At 40.9% G+C, this 19,236-nt stretch overlaps 1 protein-coding gene and 1 long non-coding RNA gene across 14 annotated transcripts in view; one reads left to right on the top strand and one right to left on the bottom strand.

The window, feature by feature from the left end:
- Positions 1–19,236, bottom strand: part of SAMD12 (sterile alpha motif domain containing 12) — a 490,139-nt gene that overhangs the window by 246,014 nt on the left and 224,889 nt on the right. For 10 of the 12 annotated variants that reach the window (NR_146234.2, NR_109794.3, XR_007060733.1 and 7 more), the window contains one exon: positions 1,722–1,862. Coding sequence is in view for 8 of the 12 variants with exons in the window: in NM_001349811.2 (NP_001336740.1) it covers positions 1,722–1,862 (141 nt within the window). In the remaining 4 variants the exon portion in view is untranslated. Of the gene's footprint in view, positions 1–145; positions 1,863–19,236 lie in introns of those variants that run through there. The other 2 variants (XM_047421778.1, NM_207506.3) reach the window with 1 other exon arrangement.
- Positions 1–19,236, top strand: part of LOC105375724 (uncharacterized) — a 141,651-nt gene that overhangs the window by 96,456 nt on the left and 25,959 nt on the right. For both annotated transcript variants that reach the window (XR_001746057.2, XR_001746062.2), the window contains one exon: positions 16,933–17,154. This is a non-coding gene — a long non-coding RNA (uncharacterized LOC105375724). The remainder of the gene's footprint in view (positions 1–16,932; positions 17,155–19,236) is intronic.

The following is a 19,236-nucleotide window of genomic DNA, read 5'->3' on the forward strand; positions in this document are numbered from 1 at the left end:
AAACCAGACACTAAACAGAAGCTGGGCAGCTATGCTTGTGGTTGAAGCTTAAAAAAATGCATATGTGTATTTTCTGATTATAATTGTAATATGAATTTGCAGAAGATTTGGAAAATACAGAAAAATAAGAATTTAAGTCACCCACTTATCCCACAATCCAGAGAGATCCTTTATTAAAATGGTTGGCATATTTACTTGCAGTCCTTTTTTTCTGTACATATAAGAATATATGGTTTTTACAAAATTGGGCTTATATTATGCATACAATTTTACACATGACCTTTCCTCCCACCTTGTATGACTTACGTAATTTCCCATGTTGTCATGTATTCTTTAAAGATGTAATTTTAATAACTGGGCATTATACTGAATCTTATGAATTTAAGCAGAATTACTTGATTCTTTTCACATTGCTGGACCTCTAGGTTGCTTGTAAATTTTCCGTTTTCCAAATAGCACTGTGACAGACTTTCTTATCATAATCTTCGTATTTCTATCTACTTCTTAAAAGAAGCTTAAAAGCCTATCAGTATTTCACATTCAAATTTAAATCACTTAGTATACCAGTAAATTCACCATTGGAAATCTCTGAGGACAAAATGCAAATAATGCATATGAGACAAACAATACTATTTTACGATCACTTGAAATCTATATTTATCCTTCTAGAATAGTCATCTTTCAGGGAGCACATTATTTCCTCTAGGCAAATGGACTATTACTAGGTTAATCTAAATGCAATAACATGAAACTTGGCTGACCCAGATTTCTCCAATATCGGTATGCATGCAATTACAATATTCTGCAGAATGACAAATACTCAAGGCTCTCAAAAACACATATTTTATCATCCTTTCATTTAAAACGATGTACAATGGACGCTAAAATAAAACAAATAAAGTTTATAGCCAATGAAGGTTGATAGCATCCAAATCTCATGTAGACATATCAGTTACATATAGTGTAACTTAAGGCTTTCTTCGAATTCTAGCTTTATTTTGTCACTTCCACAGTTATTGAGATCTTAAGTGCTCTCATCATATTGAAGTTATTTATAATTCCTGTTAAGAATTATATACTCTTAACAGTGTAGTTTTAGATTCACTATAGTCTATTATAAAAATTATTCCACTTTCAAGAAGCTAAATGGGGTTCTTACAATCTCTAAAGTGTGTGTGTATAATACATTCATGTATAGTAATACATATCTAAAATGTTTTTCTCCCACTAACCGGTGAAAAGCAAAACAAAAATACAACAAAAACTCCACTTATATCACTGGTCATCGTAACTATTGAATCACTCAAATGCTAAAGCGCCCTCACAATTGGCGCAGGTGAAGATAGCTACAGCTGGACTGTACAGTTGTGCAGGCTGCACATTATACAACTCTAGTGAGTGCAATCGTACCCTGATTGATGTGACTGGTATTCTCTGGGGTTGTGCAGTACACAATCCATACAACTGTACGTGACCACCTTGAAGTTAGCTCAGGTAATTCTGTTTGCTCATCCATTACTTATTTGTGCATCCTTCTCCCTAGTGAGCTATGAAAAAAGTTTTCAAAGGGAAGTAATCTTAAATCTGTATACTATTTTCTATGATGGAAATTCTGTGAAGAAACAATAACAAATTCTCCCTGACTCCTGTCTGTCCTAATAGTAAGGTGGTCTTTCTTCTAATCTCCCCATCCATCCACCCATCAGGAAGCAATAGGGTACCTTGTGTGAGTAACTGTAGATTTCTGACTTCTTCTCGCACCTTCAGCTGGAGCACCTGTTGTAAGATGTGCTGCCGGAGGTTCTCCTGGGCAATCCCCATTCGCTCGAGCTTTTTGTCAGTAAGTCTCAGCAGGGCTCGCCCTGCAGGGTTTTAAGAAATAAAAGGAAAAGCAAATGAACTACTTGCTGAAGAAAGATGTCCATTTTGGTCTTGACTAACCCTGCCATCACAGAAGTTTCTACCTAAACACAGACATTTTAGAATAAAGGTCTTCCATTATTATTGCTGACACAAATGGATTATCTGGGTGAAAAAAATACACATATTTAAAAGAGAACCCTAACTTTTAATTGAACATTGGGAAACCCCACTGACTCACACATTCAGTTAGAATGTGTGACTCATACATTCAGTTAGATAAAATAGGAAAACCTTAACCTGGATATTTGGGTCACAAATTGCAGGTTGCCATAGAAACAATGCTCTTCACTGGGGGCTGGATTCTCAGGCTGGCCCACAGGAGCCCAAGTCACTGACAACTCACTTACAACCCAGCTGAAGAACTGGATGCTCTAACAGTGGTATATACAGAAACTCTAGCAATGTGTAACACAGGATATAATAACATTTCTGAGAAATATGCATTTAAAGTCCAGTTTTAATCTGCAGGCAACTGACACTCCTGCTGTACCCCTGGCACTGGGCTGGAGGTTCCATCTCTAGCTGTTGGGAGCTATGCCTTAATCCCAATTACTGGCCTAATGCAAGGGTTCTAGCAGGGCTGAGAGGGAGAAGAGTGGGGTAAAAGGGCATCCAAAGAGTTCAAAAACAAGGCACCTAGAGGTGTGAGTGCCTGCAGTGTGCAGACACCCTGGGCTATGGTCAGCTGGCATGGCCTCTCTTCAACCTTTCTTTCCCTGTATACTTCTCTTCCTACTGTGATTTCCATCAAATTCTCCTCCACTCTGTGCTTGCCCTAAAATAAGCATATTTCCATTTTGAGGGTTTACTGCAAAAAATAAAAAGAGTGATCATTGCTAAATGCCCATAGCACCACCCACTACTCTTCTCCGACATTCCTACTCATCACATCTGCAGATCTTTTCTCATTTCCACAGATGAAGAAGAGACAGAGGCAATTACATGTGACGAATGATGTCTTTAGGTATATTATCATATACATTTCACAAGGAGACAGGTGAATGGAGAAAACCAGTTAGCAGCAGCTTGTGTTGTTTATGCTTCTAGTTTCCTTCCTTTTAACCTTTGCTAAGTGCATCAGTCAGGATAAGTTAGTTTATATGCTGTTGTAAAAAACAATTCCAACATATTAGTGGCTACAACAAACTTTACTTCCAGTTTATTCTGCATGTTAACTGCAAGTCTACCCATCTTGAATGCTGCTGATCAATGTAACAAGAGGGAGGAGAGAAGGTGCTAGAAGATCTTCATGCCATCAATGAAATGCTCAGCTTAGAGTCATTTATAAATCATTGGCCAGAACTAGTTGCATGAACATTTCCACCCACAAAAAGGCCACCAATTGTCCTCCCAACATGTGCCCAGAAGTGAGATGTTTAATAAGAAACACTAGTGAGAATTATACTAATATAGATGTGGCCCTGGGCCAATGCCTGGAGAGGAAGTGAGTTCTTGGATGTGCGGTGGTTGGGGGTGGAGGTCTGAAGATTCAGTGGAACCTGCATTTGTAAGGGGAATCCTACATAACTACAGCTCAGGCTTGGAAACACCAGGCAGATTCTGGTGGTCATGAGAAAAGGAAGGAAAGGACAAAATCAGACTCGAGTAATTTCCATTGCTTTCTATGGCTGGTGGACTAATGGGCCCCTAAAGATGTCCATGTTCTCATCTCTGGAACCTGTTAATTTCTTACCTTACATGACAAAAGGGACTTTGCAAATGTGATTAAGGTAAGGAGGATCTTGAGATGGGAGAGTATCTTTCATTATCCAGGTGAGTCCAATCTAATCACAAGCGTCCTTAGAAGTGAAAGAGGAAGAAGGGAGAGCCAGAGAGACATGTGACAATGGATGCAGAGGTCAAAGTGAAGCGGCCAAGAGCCAAGGAATTCAGGCAGCCTCTAAAAGCTGGAAAAGGCAAGGAAATGAATTATCTCCCACACCCCATAGAAAGCAGCTCCACTAAGAAGCTGAATTTAGCCCTGTGAGACCCATTTTTGGACTTCTGACCCCGATAAGTGTAAGACAATAAATTTGTGTTGTTTAAAGCCATGGGAGTTTGTGATAATCTGTTATAGCAGCAGTTGGCCCTGTGACTGGAATTTACATGTTTTCAAGAAGTCAAACAGATGGCTTTAGATTTCCTTTCCTTTCCCCATTTCTGGCTGCTGGCACACACAAAGGTAAAAAGTAGAGGAATGCTAAGGAGAGGTGAGCCTGAGTGCCTGGCTTGCAGGATAGCCCTGCAGTCCAATGCTCTGCTCACTGTCAGACCTTAGTCCAGAAGTTTCACTCAGAAAACAAAGAATACAGCTTAAATATCATTTATATGGATAATTGGCCTCCAAATAACAGACATCTACATCTTTATACATGTCATAAACTTATAAATACTGCATAAAACACTCCCTGAAGCTCCGATGATCTTAATCCCTCCCAACATAAAAATGTAGATCACCCTCCCTCCTTTCTGTTCCCAATTATTTGGGCTGTGGTTTCACAAGCTGTGGCATTTCCTAGCAAGAGCTGCTGAGGCACTGATAAGACACATGGCTGCTTTTGTCTTAAGCTGGCTGGGCCATCGTTAGAACACAGTGTTAAGGCATCAGAGCGAGGGTTTTGTTCCAGTGCATGCAGCTCAACTTTGCTTTGTTTGATGCCTTCCTGTAAACCTGTAGCCCCAGCCTTTCCAAAAATGCATCTGATTGGTCAAAGTATGGATACATAGCCCTACTAGAATGTTATTTCTACTTTGGTGGGTTAATAGCATTGGGTTTAAATATATGAGTCAGAAAATTCTGTCAGTTATAAAAGTTTATTCATTTTCCGACTGTGTGATACAATCATGCTTATGAACAGTTCACATATTAAATGTCCAACTGTTCAAATTATTTAATCCAAATCCTGAGAATATAATTATTTCTACTCTGTTGGAAGAGAAATTGAGAAGTTAAAGAATATTTAAAACATGAGAGCTGGTTCTAATTTTTCCCACTCTATATTCAGTTGCGCTTTATCTTCCTTGGTAGGAAAATAAAAGGGTTAGTTTTCAAGAAAGATTAAGGATAAAATTTATTTTAAAATTTCCTGATAAAATCACTTCTAGAAAAGATCATGATCTGTATACCAAAAATTTTATTAACAAAATCCGATTCACGGTCTTCTTTGGATGGTTTCTACAGATTGATGGTTCTGGAAAATTTTTGTAATAATTAAATTATTTCTAGGAGTAAATGTCCCATTAATCTCCTATTCCACCACCTCCTGCTGAATACAAAATGAACGAACATCCAAATAAGTGTGGTACTGTTTTGATGAGGTATCAAGGAAGTGATAAGCAATCATCAAATTATTTTATAATTTATGTTAATTTTTGTTGTTTATCATAAAATTCAATTGTTAGTTCAACAAACAATTATAGAGCACTCACTAGGCCTCTGTTATTTTGACACTCCCCCTGGGTACAGTGATGAACACAGCAGACAGGGTCACTTTTGAAGCCTTCAGGCTGACAAGGAAGGTAGCTCATGGCAAATGTCTACGAGTATGTGATGAATGCTAAGAAAGGCAAATATAGGAGCTCAGAACAGGGTGATCTAACCTAGTCTGGGCACCAGGAAGCTGTTAATGAGTAATGAACATGTAACCTAGGACTTAAGGAGGAAGCAAGAGTTAGACAAAACCTGATAGAGCAAATATTTTTTTAAAGTTGCCACATGAATGAAAAGGGGGGCTGCCATCGTAGACAGACAACAGGAGCACCGTCCCAGCGTGAACATTCCCTGCTTCTGCTCACAGGAGTCTCTTGGCCACCTTGCTCTGCGGTCCTCTGCCAATACAGAGAAGGACCAAGGAGTGAAAAATCAACTCAATCTCAAACAAGAAGCACCAACTGAATTGCCTGATACCATCAAACTTGTTATAACAGTAATTAGGTGACCTGGGCTGCTGGGCCCTTCACCAACTCACAGACTCTTGAGGTTAGAAGAAGCTTAAAGTTTTTCACACTGCTCTTACTCCCTGCCTTTTACTCTTTTCCATTATTAATTATTTATTGATCACCATTATGTACCTGCCACTATTTGGGGTGCTGTGATATGGAGATAAGTAGTGTCTTCTGCCTGCATGGAGCTCACCATTCAGTGTGGGAGAAAGGTGACACACAAGTAAACCGACAACTAGATCTAGATCTAGAGACAGACATATGATCCCAGATAGTCATAAGTGCTCTGAAGAAAAAGCAGAATGAAGGGGCAGACAGGGACGCCTATTAAAAAGATGAGGGCTATTGTAGTTGGGGTGGTTAGGATAGGAAAGGCCTCTCTGAAGGGGTGAGGCTGGAACCAGAAAGGAGAATGAGGGAATAGAAGTGTCAACGCAATTAGAGGAATGACAGGGAGATTAGTGTCACTAGGGCAGAGCAGGTGAGATAAGAGAATGGTCAGAAATTAGGTCTCAGAGAAGACAGGGTCAGATCACACAGGGCCTCAGAAGCCCTAGAGAGGACTTTGGATTTTACTCTTCTGAATATGGAAAGTTTTGAGCAAGGATAACTTGGGCATGATATCAGGTATTAAAAGAATCCCTCTGGTCACTATGTGGAGAATGGATTTGAGGCAGAGGTATATGTAGGAGCAAGGAGGAGTCCGCGGACTATCACAGTCATCTAAGCAGGAGGTAATGGTGTCTTTGTACTGGGGTGGCAGGGAAGAAGTAATAAGAAATAGTAAAACTCTGGCTATATTTTTAATAACTTTACAATGCCCAGAAGTGGGGTCTGAGGGAAAGACAGACATCAGAGATGACTCACATTTTCAACCTGAGCCACCAATGGCTGGAGGCACCATTTCCGAGCAAGAAATTGAGTCACTGCTTGAGAGAGGATGCATTGGAAGGAGGAAATCCTGGTAGCATTACTGCTATTTTTTCTTTAGAGAGCACTTGGGATATGCAGAAGAATAAACACGACAGAATTAAACAAAGAAAAAACAATTAAAATATTCTTCTTTTCTTGAATGCTCTTATTCCTTCAAGACTCTCCTCGAACCCCAAAGCTCTGAGTTGTCTGGGGGTAAGGTAAGCATAGGCATATCCTGGCAGAACTTAGAGAAATCAGAGGGACCTCTTACAACCCAGTTCTGTATTGTTTAGCCTTATTAGGTGCCCTCAGGGCTAAAAACATTCCCCAGAACTCCTTGTAGAGGCTCGGGCCAGGGAATATTCAGTGAGGATGTTCCCGCAGCAGGAACATGGTACTCTGCTGCAGTCTTGGAAAATTAGAGTTTTGCCGCAATCTGAAGCTTGAGCATACATAGAAAAAGCATGACTGTGTGTGCTCCACTAGAATGGCAGTAATACAAGAGCAAGTGTGATGGTTAGTTTTATATGCCAACTTGACTTGGTTATGAGGTGCCCGGGTACTTAGTCAAACATCATTCTGGGTGTTTGGGGATGGGATTAAAATTTAAATTGGTGAAGTGGATAACACAGACTGCCTTCCATAATGTGGGTGGGCCTCATCTAAGCAGTTGAAGGCCTGAGTAGAACAAAATGCTGACCCTTTCTAGACTAAGAGAGAATTCTCCTGCCTGATGGCCTTTGCACTGGGACATTGGTTCTTAATTTTATAGTAGCCTGCCAGCCTTTGGACTCAAACTAGGATGTTAGCTCTTCCTGGTTCTACAGCAGCTTCTAGCCTTTCAACTCCAACTGGGACACTGGTTCTGCAGATTCTGGATTTGCCAGCCTCCATAATTACACAGGCCAATTTCTTATAATAAATCTCTCTCTGTATGTACATGTATATGTATATGTGTGTATACATATGCTCATACTGTGTATATACCCTCTTGGTTTTGTTTCTCTGGAGAACACTAACATGCTGGGGGTGTCTCTCCTGTCAGGTGCCCTGTTACCCCCAGGATTCCCTGGTGCTGCCTGTGTGCTGGCACGCAGTAGTGCTCATAAGTATTTACTGAGCACATATCCTTAGTGCTACTAAATTAACATAAAGGTAATCTTCTTTACCACAAATTGATGCTCTCAAGACTACTAAATTACTTATATCAGAAAAGATGTAAAAGACTTGATTGGAAGCTGTTGGTTAAAACAAGAAGAAGAAACTGAACATATAGAGGGAAGAGGCTCCATTTCATTGTGGTGACCACAGAAACACATGCCAATTGAAAGCAATAGAGAACACGAGACTAAATGAGGCTTAAAGAAAGATGAGTGCCTTTTTCTATTTTTGAACACACACCAACTGAGACTAGAAACCTTGCTGAGCAGATGAGCAGCAAGAAAAGGTGAGGGATAATTGAGTCACAGAGCAGTTTATTCATTTCCTATGGTTGCCATAACAAACTATCACAAACACAGGGGCTTCAAACAATAGAAATTTATTCCTCAGAGTTCTGGAAGTCAGAAGTTCAGCATCTGTTCCATTGGGCTAACATCAACGTGTCGGAAGGGCCACACTCCTTCTGGAAGCTGTAGGACACGAAACATTCTCTGATACGTCTGTTTCTGCCAGCTGCCAGTACCCCCTTGCATGTGGCCACAAATCTCTGCCTCCATTCTCCTATCACCTTCTCCTCTTGCGCGTGTATAATCTCACTCTGCCTTTGTCTTACAAAGGCACTTGGGATTGGATTTGGGGCCCATCTGAACAACCTGAGATAATCTTCCCTTGTGAAGATCCTCAACTTAATACATCTGCAAAGACCCTTTGTCCTTGTAACATTTTCAGGTTTCAGGGATTAGGACCTGATGCTGTTGGGTGGATATTATTCAGCCTATCACAGCTGAAAGGAACATTTGAGTTTCTGACTACGGCACAGGGTTCATTGTGCTCCTCATGGAGAAGTGAGGCACAGAGAAAGTGTCCTGCCTAAAACAGCACAGAAGATGAGGTAGAGACTTAGGTCTAGACCATGTCTCCGACTTTCAAGCCCAGCCTGGTCTCTGGTCTCTATTCCAGGTGCCCTTCATCTTTTGCTCAGAGAATTGCAACAGACAGCCTGGCACAACTTTTCAAGATAAATGACTGCATGTCATAAGGCATGATTGGAAATGACAGGGGAAGCTGGAGGTGAGCCAAGAGTGGCCTCAGACCCTGTCCTATTGGGAAATCTTAGTGCCACTGCATGTGGTTGGGGGGTGCCACTTTTCCCAGAATAGGATGAATTACAACGCCTCTTTTCTGCCAGAAATAGATCATTGGACAGTTCCCCAAATAAATGGCCCTTTGTGCACTGGGTTAGCTCCAAAACTGCTCTCAGGTAAAGGCCTGGGTCATGCACCAAGCAAATGCCTGTTGCTCCATCCCAGTCTGGCTGGTCCAGAGCAGCAGGCATGGGGCATACAACCAGTGTCCCCTAGCCCAAACTTATGTTTCTCCAATCATGCCATTACTCCAAAATTGGAATTTTGGGAACAAAGAAACAGAGAGGCAAAATCACAAAAGCATGGGATCACAGCTAACAGGTGTAGATAAATGTCTAGGAAAGCACAATCTGAGTCTTAGTTTACTCATCTCTTCAATGGGGATGAAAACCACACTATCTCATAGAATGACCATGAGAGTCAAATGAAATAATACATACATAGGACTTTTGCAACTTGGAACCACAATAACACAATTTGGATACTACTGTTCCTTGATTGGCCACCACTTCTTTTTACTCTTCCTCCTCCTCCTACTCCCCTCCTCCTCCTCATAATTGTAATAATATCAAATGTCTATGGTGCAGTTACTCTGTTAAACACTATCCTAGTAGCTTTACATAGATTATGTCATTGTCAACAGTTTTCTGAAGGTACTATTATTATCTATTATTAAGAGCTATAAAACAGCTGAAGGCCTTATACCTAATAACCTGCAGTTCTGGGATACAAACATAGGCAGAAGCCATGCTCTGAACCATCTCCCTAAACTGCCACCCAGAGATTCTTTACACAAACCTATATACTCCTCAAGGCCACTTCTTGCAAAGGGAACAGAACTCATGAGCAAATGAGAGGCTGAGGGTCAGGAAAACGTCTTCATCTCTGAGGGCTTAAATGCAAGCAGTGGGAACATTATCATAGCATCACTATGCACAAGGGCGTAATGTTTCACTTGGTGGAGAACGACAGGGAAATGATGGGTCTCTGAAAGTAGCCATCAAACAGATTCATAGACTGTATGTGTACCATGGACTGAACCAGCTATACTACTGGAAACTAGTAGACAAGGATAAATAAGATAATTTCCCTGCCAGAGGGACAAACATAGGTTCTTTGCAAGCCCATAAGAGGGGCATTTAACCCATCTGGCAACCTTGAACAAAAACAAAAAATCAAGATGGTTAGTAGGAAGAGCATTCAAGGCACAGGGAACAGCATAGGCAAAGATGGAGACCGAAGAACCAGAAGTTCTATATGACTGTGGTGTGAAACCCGCAGCAAGGAGTTACTGCTGGGCTATACTCGCCATTTCATGCTTGGCGTTAGTCTCTTTCTTTATTTTTACCTTCCACCACAAAGCAGCAGAGGTGAGACACAAGTGATGATATTCCCAATAGTAAAACCCTCCATTTGTAGAACTAATATAATAAGCACTTCATTTTTGCCTACACTACATCTCTGATTATTTCTGATAAAAGCAGCTCTCTTTTGTCTTTTGAGAGCGGCTTTTTTCTCACCTGGTGGGGTTTTTAACAGTTAAAAGCAATTTCCCTGTAGTACTTTTTACTTCTAGAGTACTATATAATTTTCTTGCTTATTATGTTTGTCTTTGGATTCACTCCCACCCCTTCCCATAACGTAAGTAAGCTCCATGAAAGCAGGGATTCCTTGAGGTTCTCAAGCACCTCACTAGAGCCTTACTCAACGTAGGCACTAAAAAGATACTTGTTAAATTAACCCTGGGTATGTGACCCAGACCAGAATATCTACATTTCTTTGCTGGGATCGTTATGGCCACTAAGAAGAAAGTTCTCTTTCTATCTTCAACTATGTCCCAAGGGACAATATAATGCTAGACTTGCTGTTAGTGGCTGTCTTTACCACCCTATGGAGGGAATTTCCTAGAGAATTTAGCCAACAGAGAGACCAGAGCTGGGAAAGAGTAAAGTAGGGTGAGAGGAGAAAGTCAGAGAAAAAAAGAGAGAGAAAGAACATTATTTGGTTTCTCAAATACAGCCTGGCATCAAGTCAGATACCCCTGCACTCTTGGTTATGTGAGTCAATATGTGGCAGTGGACAGGGATAAGCTAGTTGAGCTCACTTGTACCACTTGCACCAAGAGAATCTTGACTTAAACATCCTAGTTTATGAGGGATTCTCGGTTAAGTCACAGTACTGCCATCCCTCTCCAGCATTTCACAAAAGCCTATCATGGTGTAAGTGGGTAAGAATGATATGAACCTATAGTAATTGGTTCTCAAAAAGTTAATCATCGGTAAATGTATTTTAGTTAGAATTTCTTACAAATTATTTGAAGTACACCTTAATCTGACTGCATATTTATGTATGCTTGATGCATCAGGGCAACCTCCTTATAAAATTATACCAGAGGTCATAAACTCAGATGCTTTTGTCAGGATAACATAATTGGGTGAAGAGAACTGCCCTAAGGGATGACTAAGAAAAGGTAGACTGAAGCTGGGTGCGGTGGCCTATGCCTGTAATCCCAGCATTTTGGGAGCCTACGCAGCCCAGCATTTTGGGAGCAGGCAGATCACTTGAGGTCAGGAGTTCGAGGCCAGCCTGGCCAACATGGTGAAACCCTGTCTCTACTAAAAATTCAAAAAAGAAACAAAAATTAGCCAGGCATGGTGGTATGCACCTGTAGTTCCAGCTACTGGGGAGGCTGAGGCAGGAGAATCACTTGAACCCGGGAGGAGGAGGTTATAGTGAGCCGAGATCATGCCACTGCACTCCAGCCTGGGTGACAGAGCAAGACTCCATTTCAAAAAAGAAAAAAAAAAAGATAGACGGTAGTGGACTGGACAAATTATTTTTTCCCTAAAATGGGCAATTCCAATACATTCTTGCTATGATAGAATACAAGCTAAGTATTGCTACTTCTTTTATTTTTAAGTTAGATACAAGTGAAAATCCAGAAGTTCTATGAAATCTCCCAATTTAAAATTGGCTAATTTTTTCCATACTATGAGAGCCAAACAAATTACGTATATATGGGTCATAGCCAAACAAATTACGTATATATGGGTCATAGTTGGTTTACAAGTTGCTACTTTCAAATTTAACTTTTTTTTTTGAGATGGAGTCTTGCTCTGTCACCCAGGCTGGAGTGCAGTGGCACGATCTTGGCTCACTGCAAGCTCTGCCTTCTGGGTTCATGCCATTCTCCTGCCTCAGCCTCCTAAGCAGCTGGGAAAATAGGTGCCCGCCACCATGCCTGGATAATGTTTTTGTATTTTTTAGTAGAGACGGGGTTTCACCATGTTAGCCAGGATGGTCTTGATCTCCTGACCTCGTAAGCCGCCTGCCTAAGCCTCCCAAAGTGCTAGGATTACAGGCGTGAGCCACTGCACCCGGCCCAAATTTAACTTTTAACCTTCCTTCTTCCATGTCCCTCCAACTTTCAGTGCAAAGGAATTCAGGCAGCCTTGTTTGCAGGGTTTCGGCTGACTTTAGGAGTGGACTCCACCAAGTTCTGTGATTCCATTCTGTGTAGCCTATTCTAAATCAATAGCCAACCAAGACCAAGTCTGAGCTAGCCCTTCATTTTTCATAACCTAGAGATGCATTGCAAATCCAGCTTAAGTGACCCCCAGCCCAACCTCTGATTTCCTGAAGGTGACTACGAATCACCCAATACCAGAGCTAGCAAGGACTTAAAGGTCAGCCAACCCATTGCCTCATTTCCTGGCAAGAATACACACAAAACCTTCCAAGACCAATAAGTCTCCTCTCACTTCTACCTGAGAGCGCTGCCCACCGTCAAGTCCGGTCACTCACTTGGTTACATTTAGATGATTAGCAGTTAATTGAAGGCCCCTTCTCTGGGCCAAGGAAGAGAAGGGTTAATGGAAATTTGCACTGCAGTTACTGTAATTTACCATACTGATGGGAACTCTATATTGATTTTTTTTTACCTGTCTTGGGTAAAAATACTATTTTAGACAATCTATTATTTTGGCTGAATATATTCAGGTTAATAGGAGAAAATTGGAATAACATTAATTCCCACCTGAAATATAAATTCAGAAAGAAATATATTACAGTGCTTTTCAAACAGAAAATGTGACCCTGCATTGTTTTTAGCTCTCCGAGAAGGAATACACAGCTCACACACAGTATGTTAAAGGTTAAATATTCTACAGCGTTTGTTAGTACATGTGATTACCAAATCCCATCCAAAAAATTAATTTTTAAAAACCCTAAAAGATTTTGTTTGGGAATTTTGTCTTAGTCCCTGGGAAGACTCAGTAATTACTTGCCTTGTACCTCAGAGCAGATTTTTCAAGCAAAGAAGTCTAGTACCAACATAATGGAGACTATAATGGAAGATTTATGATAAAATAAACAACCTTCAAGGTCTTTTCTGTTTTTGATAGGTAGACAAAACCTCTAGGTACTTTTATTTGTCTGCATTTGTATGCACTGGTTTGGGATTCTCTGTTTATTAAGTGTCACTAGGTGGTGAGAAATCCACTGGGCATTAGACATCTTTTTAAATTAATTGCCAAGAAGCATTAAGTGTCTATTAACAAGCATCTTCTTGCCCCTCAATATTCTACTTTGTGGTCATAACAACTAAACACATAAGGACAATGTTCACATGCCAAAGAGAACAGGCACTGGGCATGCTGGTTCCTACATGTGAATCAATTTGAGCCAGTACCTATAGCCAAAGTACTGTTCAAAAAAGTTTTAAGTCTACTTTGACATTCTTTCTCTAATACTGAGGGATTTGTATTTCCTTAAACTTTTAAATGATAAATGTTATCAGTATCAGGGATTTCTTAGGTAGAAAAATTAACAAGTATTATCACAGCTTCAGATATATTCAATAGAAGAGACAGTAACATACTTTTGCCTTCATGGAGCTTAAAAATTACCCAGAAATGTAAGACCAGCAGGTATTAAACAGCTACAAAAACAATAATGTGATAAAACTCTGTAGCCATGACCATGAAGACCATGAGATGCATTAGGAAAGTTCTGGTTAAAAAAAAAAAAAAGAGGTCTTGGGTTTGGAGTTGAAAGCCCAGGGCTGGATTAGCCAGTCATTAGCTACGTGGTCATTGTTGTGATAATTTACCTGTCTAGGATTGCATTTCTTCGCTGGCAAAATGGGAATAATATGACACCCTCTCTCCCCATGTTGTGCTGAGTAACTACTCACAGCGGTAAGCACAATAAAAAGTACTGTTGGCTGGGCGCAGTGGCTCACGCCTGTAATCCCAGCACTTTGGGAGGCTGAGGCAGGCGGATCACGAGGTCAGGAGATTGAGACCATCCTGGCCCACGTGGTGAAACCTGTCTCTACTAAAATACACACAAAAAAATTAGCTGGGCCTGGTGGTGCACGCCTGTAGTCCCAGCTACTCGGGAGGCCGAGGCAGGAGAATCACTTGAACTTGGGAGGCAGAGGTTGCAGTGAGCAGAGATCACACCACTGCACTCCAGCCTGGCGACAGAACGAGACTCCGTCTCAAGACAAACAAACAAAAACAAAAAACAAAAAACAAAAACCTGTCACTGTCTTCAGGAAGCAGACCTAAAGAAAGGTAAGAGGTCACCCAAGACCCTATGGGGAGCTGTGTAGCTCACTCCAAAACTATGATGGGAGCACCCGAAAGGGTGGGATCCTGATGGTGACCCTGGGAAATCTTTCTAATGATAGAGGGGTAAAAAGAAAATGGCAACTCTATTTATCACATGTCAAATTTCAAAAGTCATCAACATGATACGCAAATAGACAAACTTTTCTGCTTCACTTTATCTAGAACAGGGGATTACTGATATTTGGGGCCAGGTGATTCTTTGTGATACCAGCTACCTTATGCACTGCAGGATGCTGTGTGGCATCCTTGGCCTCTACCTACTAGATGACAATAATACTCCCTACCCCTACTTGTGTTAATCAAAAATGTCTCAGATTTTTGGCAAAGGTTTGCTGGAGGGTGAAACTACCCCTGGTTGAGAACCATTGGTTTAGGAGTTTGCTTCCAACCAAGTGATTCACCAAATGTTAACTCAAGGGCCAGAATAATCCTCAGTAATAGGGGTTTATAGGACTCAGGTTGCTGAGGAGGCAAAACAACAAAACACTTACTTTTGGGAAAAATCACCCACTATATGTCAGGCTCTTTTCTACCCACTGTCTCAATTTAATCCACAGCAACACCCTGGGATGTATTCTTACCTCCATGTCAAAGATGAGGAAATAGAAGCTCATGGAGACAAAGTAAAAACACACACAAGTAGCAGAACAAGGATTTCTTTTCTCTTTTCGAGAGAAGGTCTTGCTCTGTCATGTGGGGTGGTATACAGTGGTGTGATCATGTCTCACCACGGCAATCTTCCTACCTCAGCCTTCAGAGTATCTGGAACTATAGGTGCACACCACCATGGCCGGCTAGGTGTTTGTTTTATATGTATGTGTGTATATACATATATATATATATTTTGATTTTTTATTTTTTCGTAGAGATAGGGTCTCCTTATGCTGCCCGGACTGATCTCAATCACCTGAGCTCGATCTCCTGGCCCATCCTCTGGCCTTGGCCTCCCAAAGTGCTGGGATTACAGGTGTGAGCCACCACTAGAGAAAAGGGATTTTGACTCAGTTCTACAAGCAAAAATACCCATGCATTTTTTTCTTTTCTTTTTTTTTTTTGAGACAGAGTTTTGCTCTTGTTGCCCAGGCTGGAGTGCAGGGATGCAATCTTGGCTCACTGCAACCTCCGCCTCCTGGGTTCAAGTGATTCTCCTGCCTCAGCCTTCCAAGTAGTTGAGATTACAAGCACCCATTATCACACCCAGCTAATTTTTTTTGTATTTTTAGTAGAGATGGTGTTTCACCATGTTGGCCAGGCTGTTCTTGAACTCCTCACCTCAGGTGATCCACCTGTCTTGGCTTCCCAAAGTGCTGGGATTACAGGGATGAGCCACCAAGCCTGGCCCCATGCATTTGATCTGAAAGGATCACAAAGCCCATAACTGTAGCACTTCAAGTGAAGTTTAAATTCAGGGGCTTCATCAATAAAAGAGTAATAAAAGTGGGCTAAATTTCCCCTATTTGATAAGTGACAAAAATTTGAGGAAACCAAGGCCATAAATATGGATTGACACTGGCATTGCTTCAGTGCTGAAGAGACAATACAAACACACATCTACATCATGTTCCCTTTGCTCCTTAAAGAAAGTAACAATATGCTCATCAAGCTTGAAGTCCAAAATTTGATGTCAGCAGGTTACATACTAAAAGCTATGTTGGAATGAGATAAGGAACATGAACAGATTTCCATTATCCACATCTCTACACATGCTCAGCCTTCAAATATCTTTCCTCCCTTCTTGTCTGATGAGCTTCAAGGGTTGGTTCAGGTCTTAGATGCTCAGCAAGTTCTTCCTCACTCACCTTGGAACCTACAGGCAAAATACAAGGTGGCAAGTGCTAGAGTAAAGATGTCTATTTCCCTCCTCAAATTACAAGCTCTTGAAAGTAAGGGTGTATCTTTTCATTTATGTATTGCCAAAATCCTGGACATTGCTTAATAAACTAGTGAAATAATATTTGGGCAGTGTCAAAATAAATGTTGTTGAGAGAAAACCACATTAGAGAATGTGGCAGAGCTTAAGAGTGACAGTCCCATATTGCGTTTTCATGTATATTTGAATTGACTGGGTTTACCATGTCTGTAGTGCCAATATCCTGACTTTGCCAAAAGACTTACAGGCCTGCAACAGTCACCTAGTAGACCCAGGCTAGTGATGGTGCCAATGACTGTGGAACTTGAGACATAGTTGGATGATGGCTTTATCCTCTCAGCTCTTTTATCCCAGAGATTATAGTGCTGGAGTTGGAAGAAGATGGGAGAAACATATGAGGAGAGAAGGAAGTCGAGCTCATACCATGATGAAGAAGATAACTCCTGAAGATTGGGAAGGGCACTGGCTGGCTCTCAAAGATGGACAAATGGCTTTACGACGCTTAAGGGGATGCTCTGTGGAGTCTGCTTGGGTGCAAATCACCACCATGACACACTACCCAGTAAGTTGCTTACCCTGCTTTAAGTCTCCGTTTTCCCATCTCATCAGTGGGTATGTTAACAGTATAGGAATATTTATGAAGATTAAATTAATTAATACAGAGAAAAGCACTTAGCACAGTTCCTGGCACATAATATAAATTAGCAATGGATGATAATGGGTTCAAAAGCTGAGGGCTAGCTACAGGTGAGTCAGCAATGTGACCCTTTATACCCTCAGGTGAAATGTATGGTACATCCATGCCAATTTATATTTACAAACACTCGCATGAATGCCAAAGCCTATGTACCACACTCCCTCATTCACTGCTCACTCACGACTTATGCTTGAAGGCCCAGGCCACTTAGATGTCCTTCTTTCCCTTTTCATAATTCTATTATTACAGAACGTGTATCTCAGATACGTAGAGTGATTCTCAAATTGAGCTGTCTCTTAAGACTCCAAGATGCCACTAAAAATTTCATGAATTATTTAGAAAGAAAGTAAAAGCAATGTTCACTTGGGTTTTCTTTAGCAAACACCCTGAGGCCAGTGTTCAGGGACCAAAATGTCATGTACAAGGTTCTCCAACCTCAAAGAGTTCAAGCCATTGTTTTAAGTAACACTTTGTTCGCTGTGGGTACCAATAAGTACATACTATAATCAATAAGACTCTTTCTATAATTTATCAGAATCATAAAAATAGACTCAGAAGCGGTGGCTCATGCCTGTAATCCTAGCACTTTGGGAGGCCGAGGTGGGTGGATCATGAGGTCTGGAGATTGAGACCATCCCGGCTAACACGGTGAAACCCCATCTCTACTAAAAATACAAAAAATTAGCCGGGCGTGGTGGCGGGCGCCTGTAGTCCCAGCTACTCGGGAGGCTGAGGCAGGAGAATGGGGTGAACCCAGGAGGCGGAGCTTGCAGTGAGTAAGATCGCAAGAGCAAGACTCCATCTCAAAAAAAAAAAAAATAGACCCAGAAAAAGTTAGAAAAAAAGAGAAAGTTGAAGAAAAAAGTGAGTTTTTTTGTATAATTTTCTCTTCTGATTTAGATTTGGTTATAAAATGCTTCAGTTCAGTGTCCATTCATTCTTCTTCCAGCAATAAGGTGTTCAATAACTTATATTTTAATTATGTATTGTTTCGTGTGAGTAAAGAGACCTGAACTTGGAGTAAAAAGCCTGGGTTTGCAGGTTGGTGTCTCCACATGCAAGCTCTGTGAGCTTGAGTAACTTATTTAATGCCACTGAGTCAGTTTCCTCATCTGTAAAATGATAATTATCATTTTAATCACTCTGAGTTTTCTATGTGAAAGTTAAATTAGGCAGTAAATTAGAAAGTGTCTGGTATAATACCTGACTCAATGCCTTCATTTCAAATTAAACATTACATAAAGGTGTACCTTGTGTAGGCTTCCATTGTTACACCTACTCGATTATAATATAATCATGAATATGTTCACATGCCTGTTCTTCCTTCTAAACTCTGGGCTCTCTATGAAGAAAGCATGGGTTGTATTTATCTCAGTAACTGCAGCACTCAGCAATTGGTAGATATTCATTAAAGTTTTCCTGAGTGAATAAATGGCTCTATGAGAAAGGGAGAATACTATCATCCTCATTTTAAAGTTAAGAAATGGGCCCAGAAAAGTGAAGAGATTTGTCCAAAGTCGTAAGACTAGTAATTGTCAGAGCAAAGACAAGAACCATGCTACTTCTACTTAGGAAGGCTGCGCCTGTTTAGTTCAGCATTCATTTAATAAACCATTAATGACTTATCATGTGCCAGTTGATAACCGAGGTGATTTTTAAAGTACAGAAACCAGTTCGGAACCTAGAGCTTCTGTTGAGCCCATAGTTTATGGTGGTTTCTACTAGAGAGGTGGTAACAGGAAGATACTCAGAGAGGGGAAATTTTGCATGCAGAATCTAAAGGACTTGGTGAGAAATGAGGTATCTGAAGCAAGACAGAAGTTGCCAAGGGTGAGACACATGTTTCTGGCTTGGGCAATAAAAGAAAGTGCAACTGCTACCATGGGGAAGATTGAGTGAGCAAGGACGAGGAAAAAGAACAATACTTGTGGTTTGGACATGTAATAA

This window comes from Homo sapiens, chromosome 8 (assembly GCF_000001405.40).
Source record: "Homo sapiens chromosome 8, GRCh38.p14 Primary Assembly".
Lineage (NCBI taxonomy): Eukaryota > Metazoa > Chordata > Mammalia > Primates > Hominidae > Homo > Homo sapiens.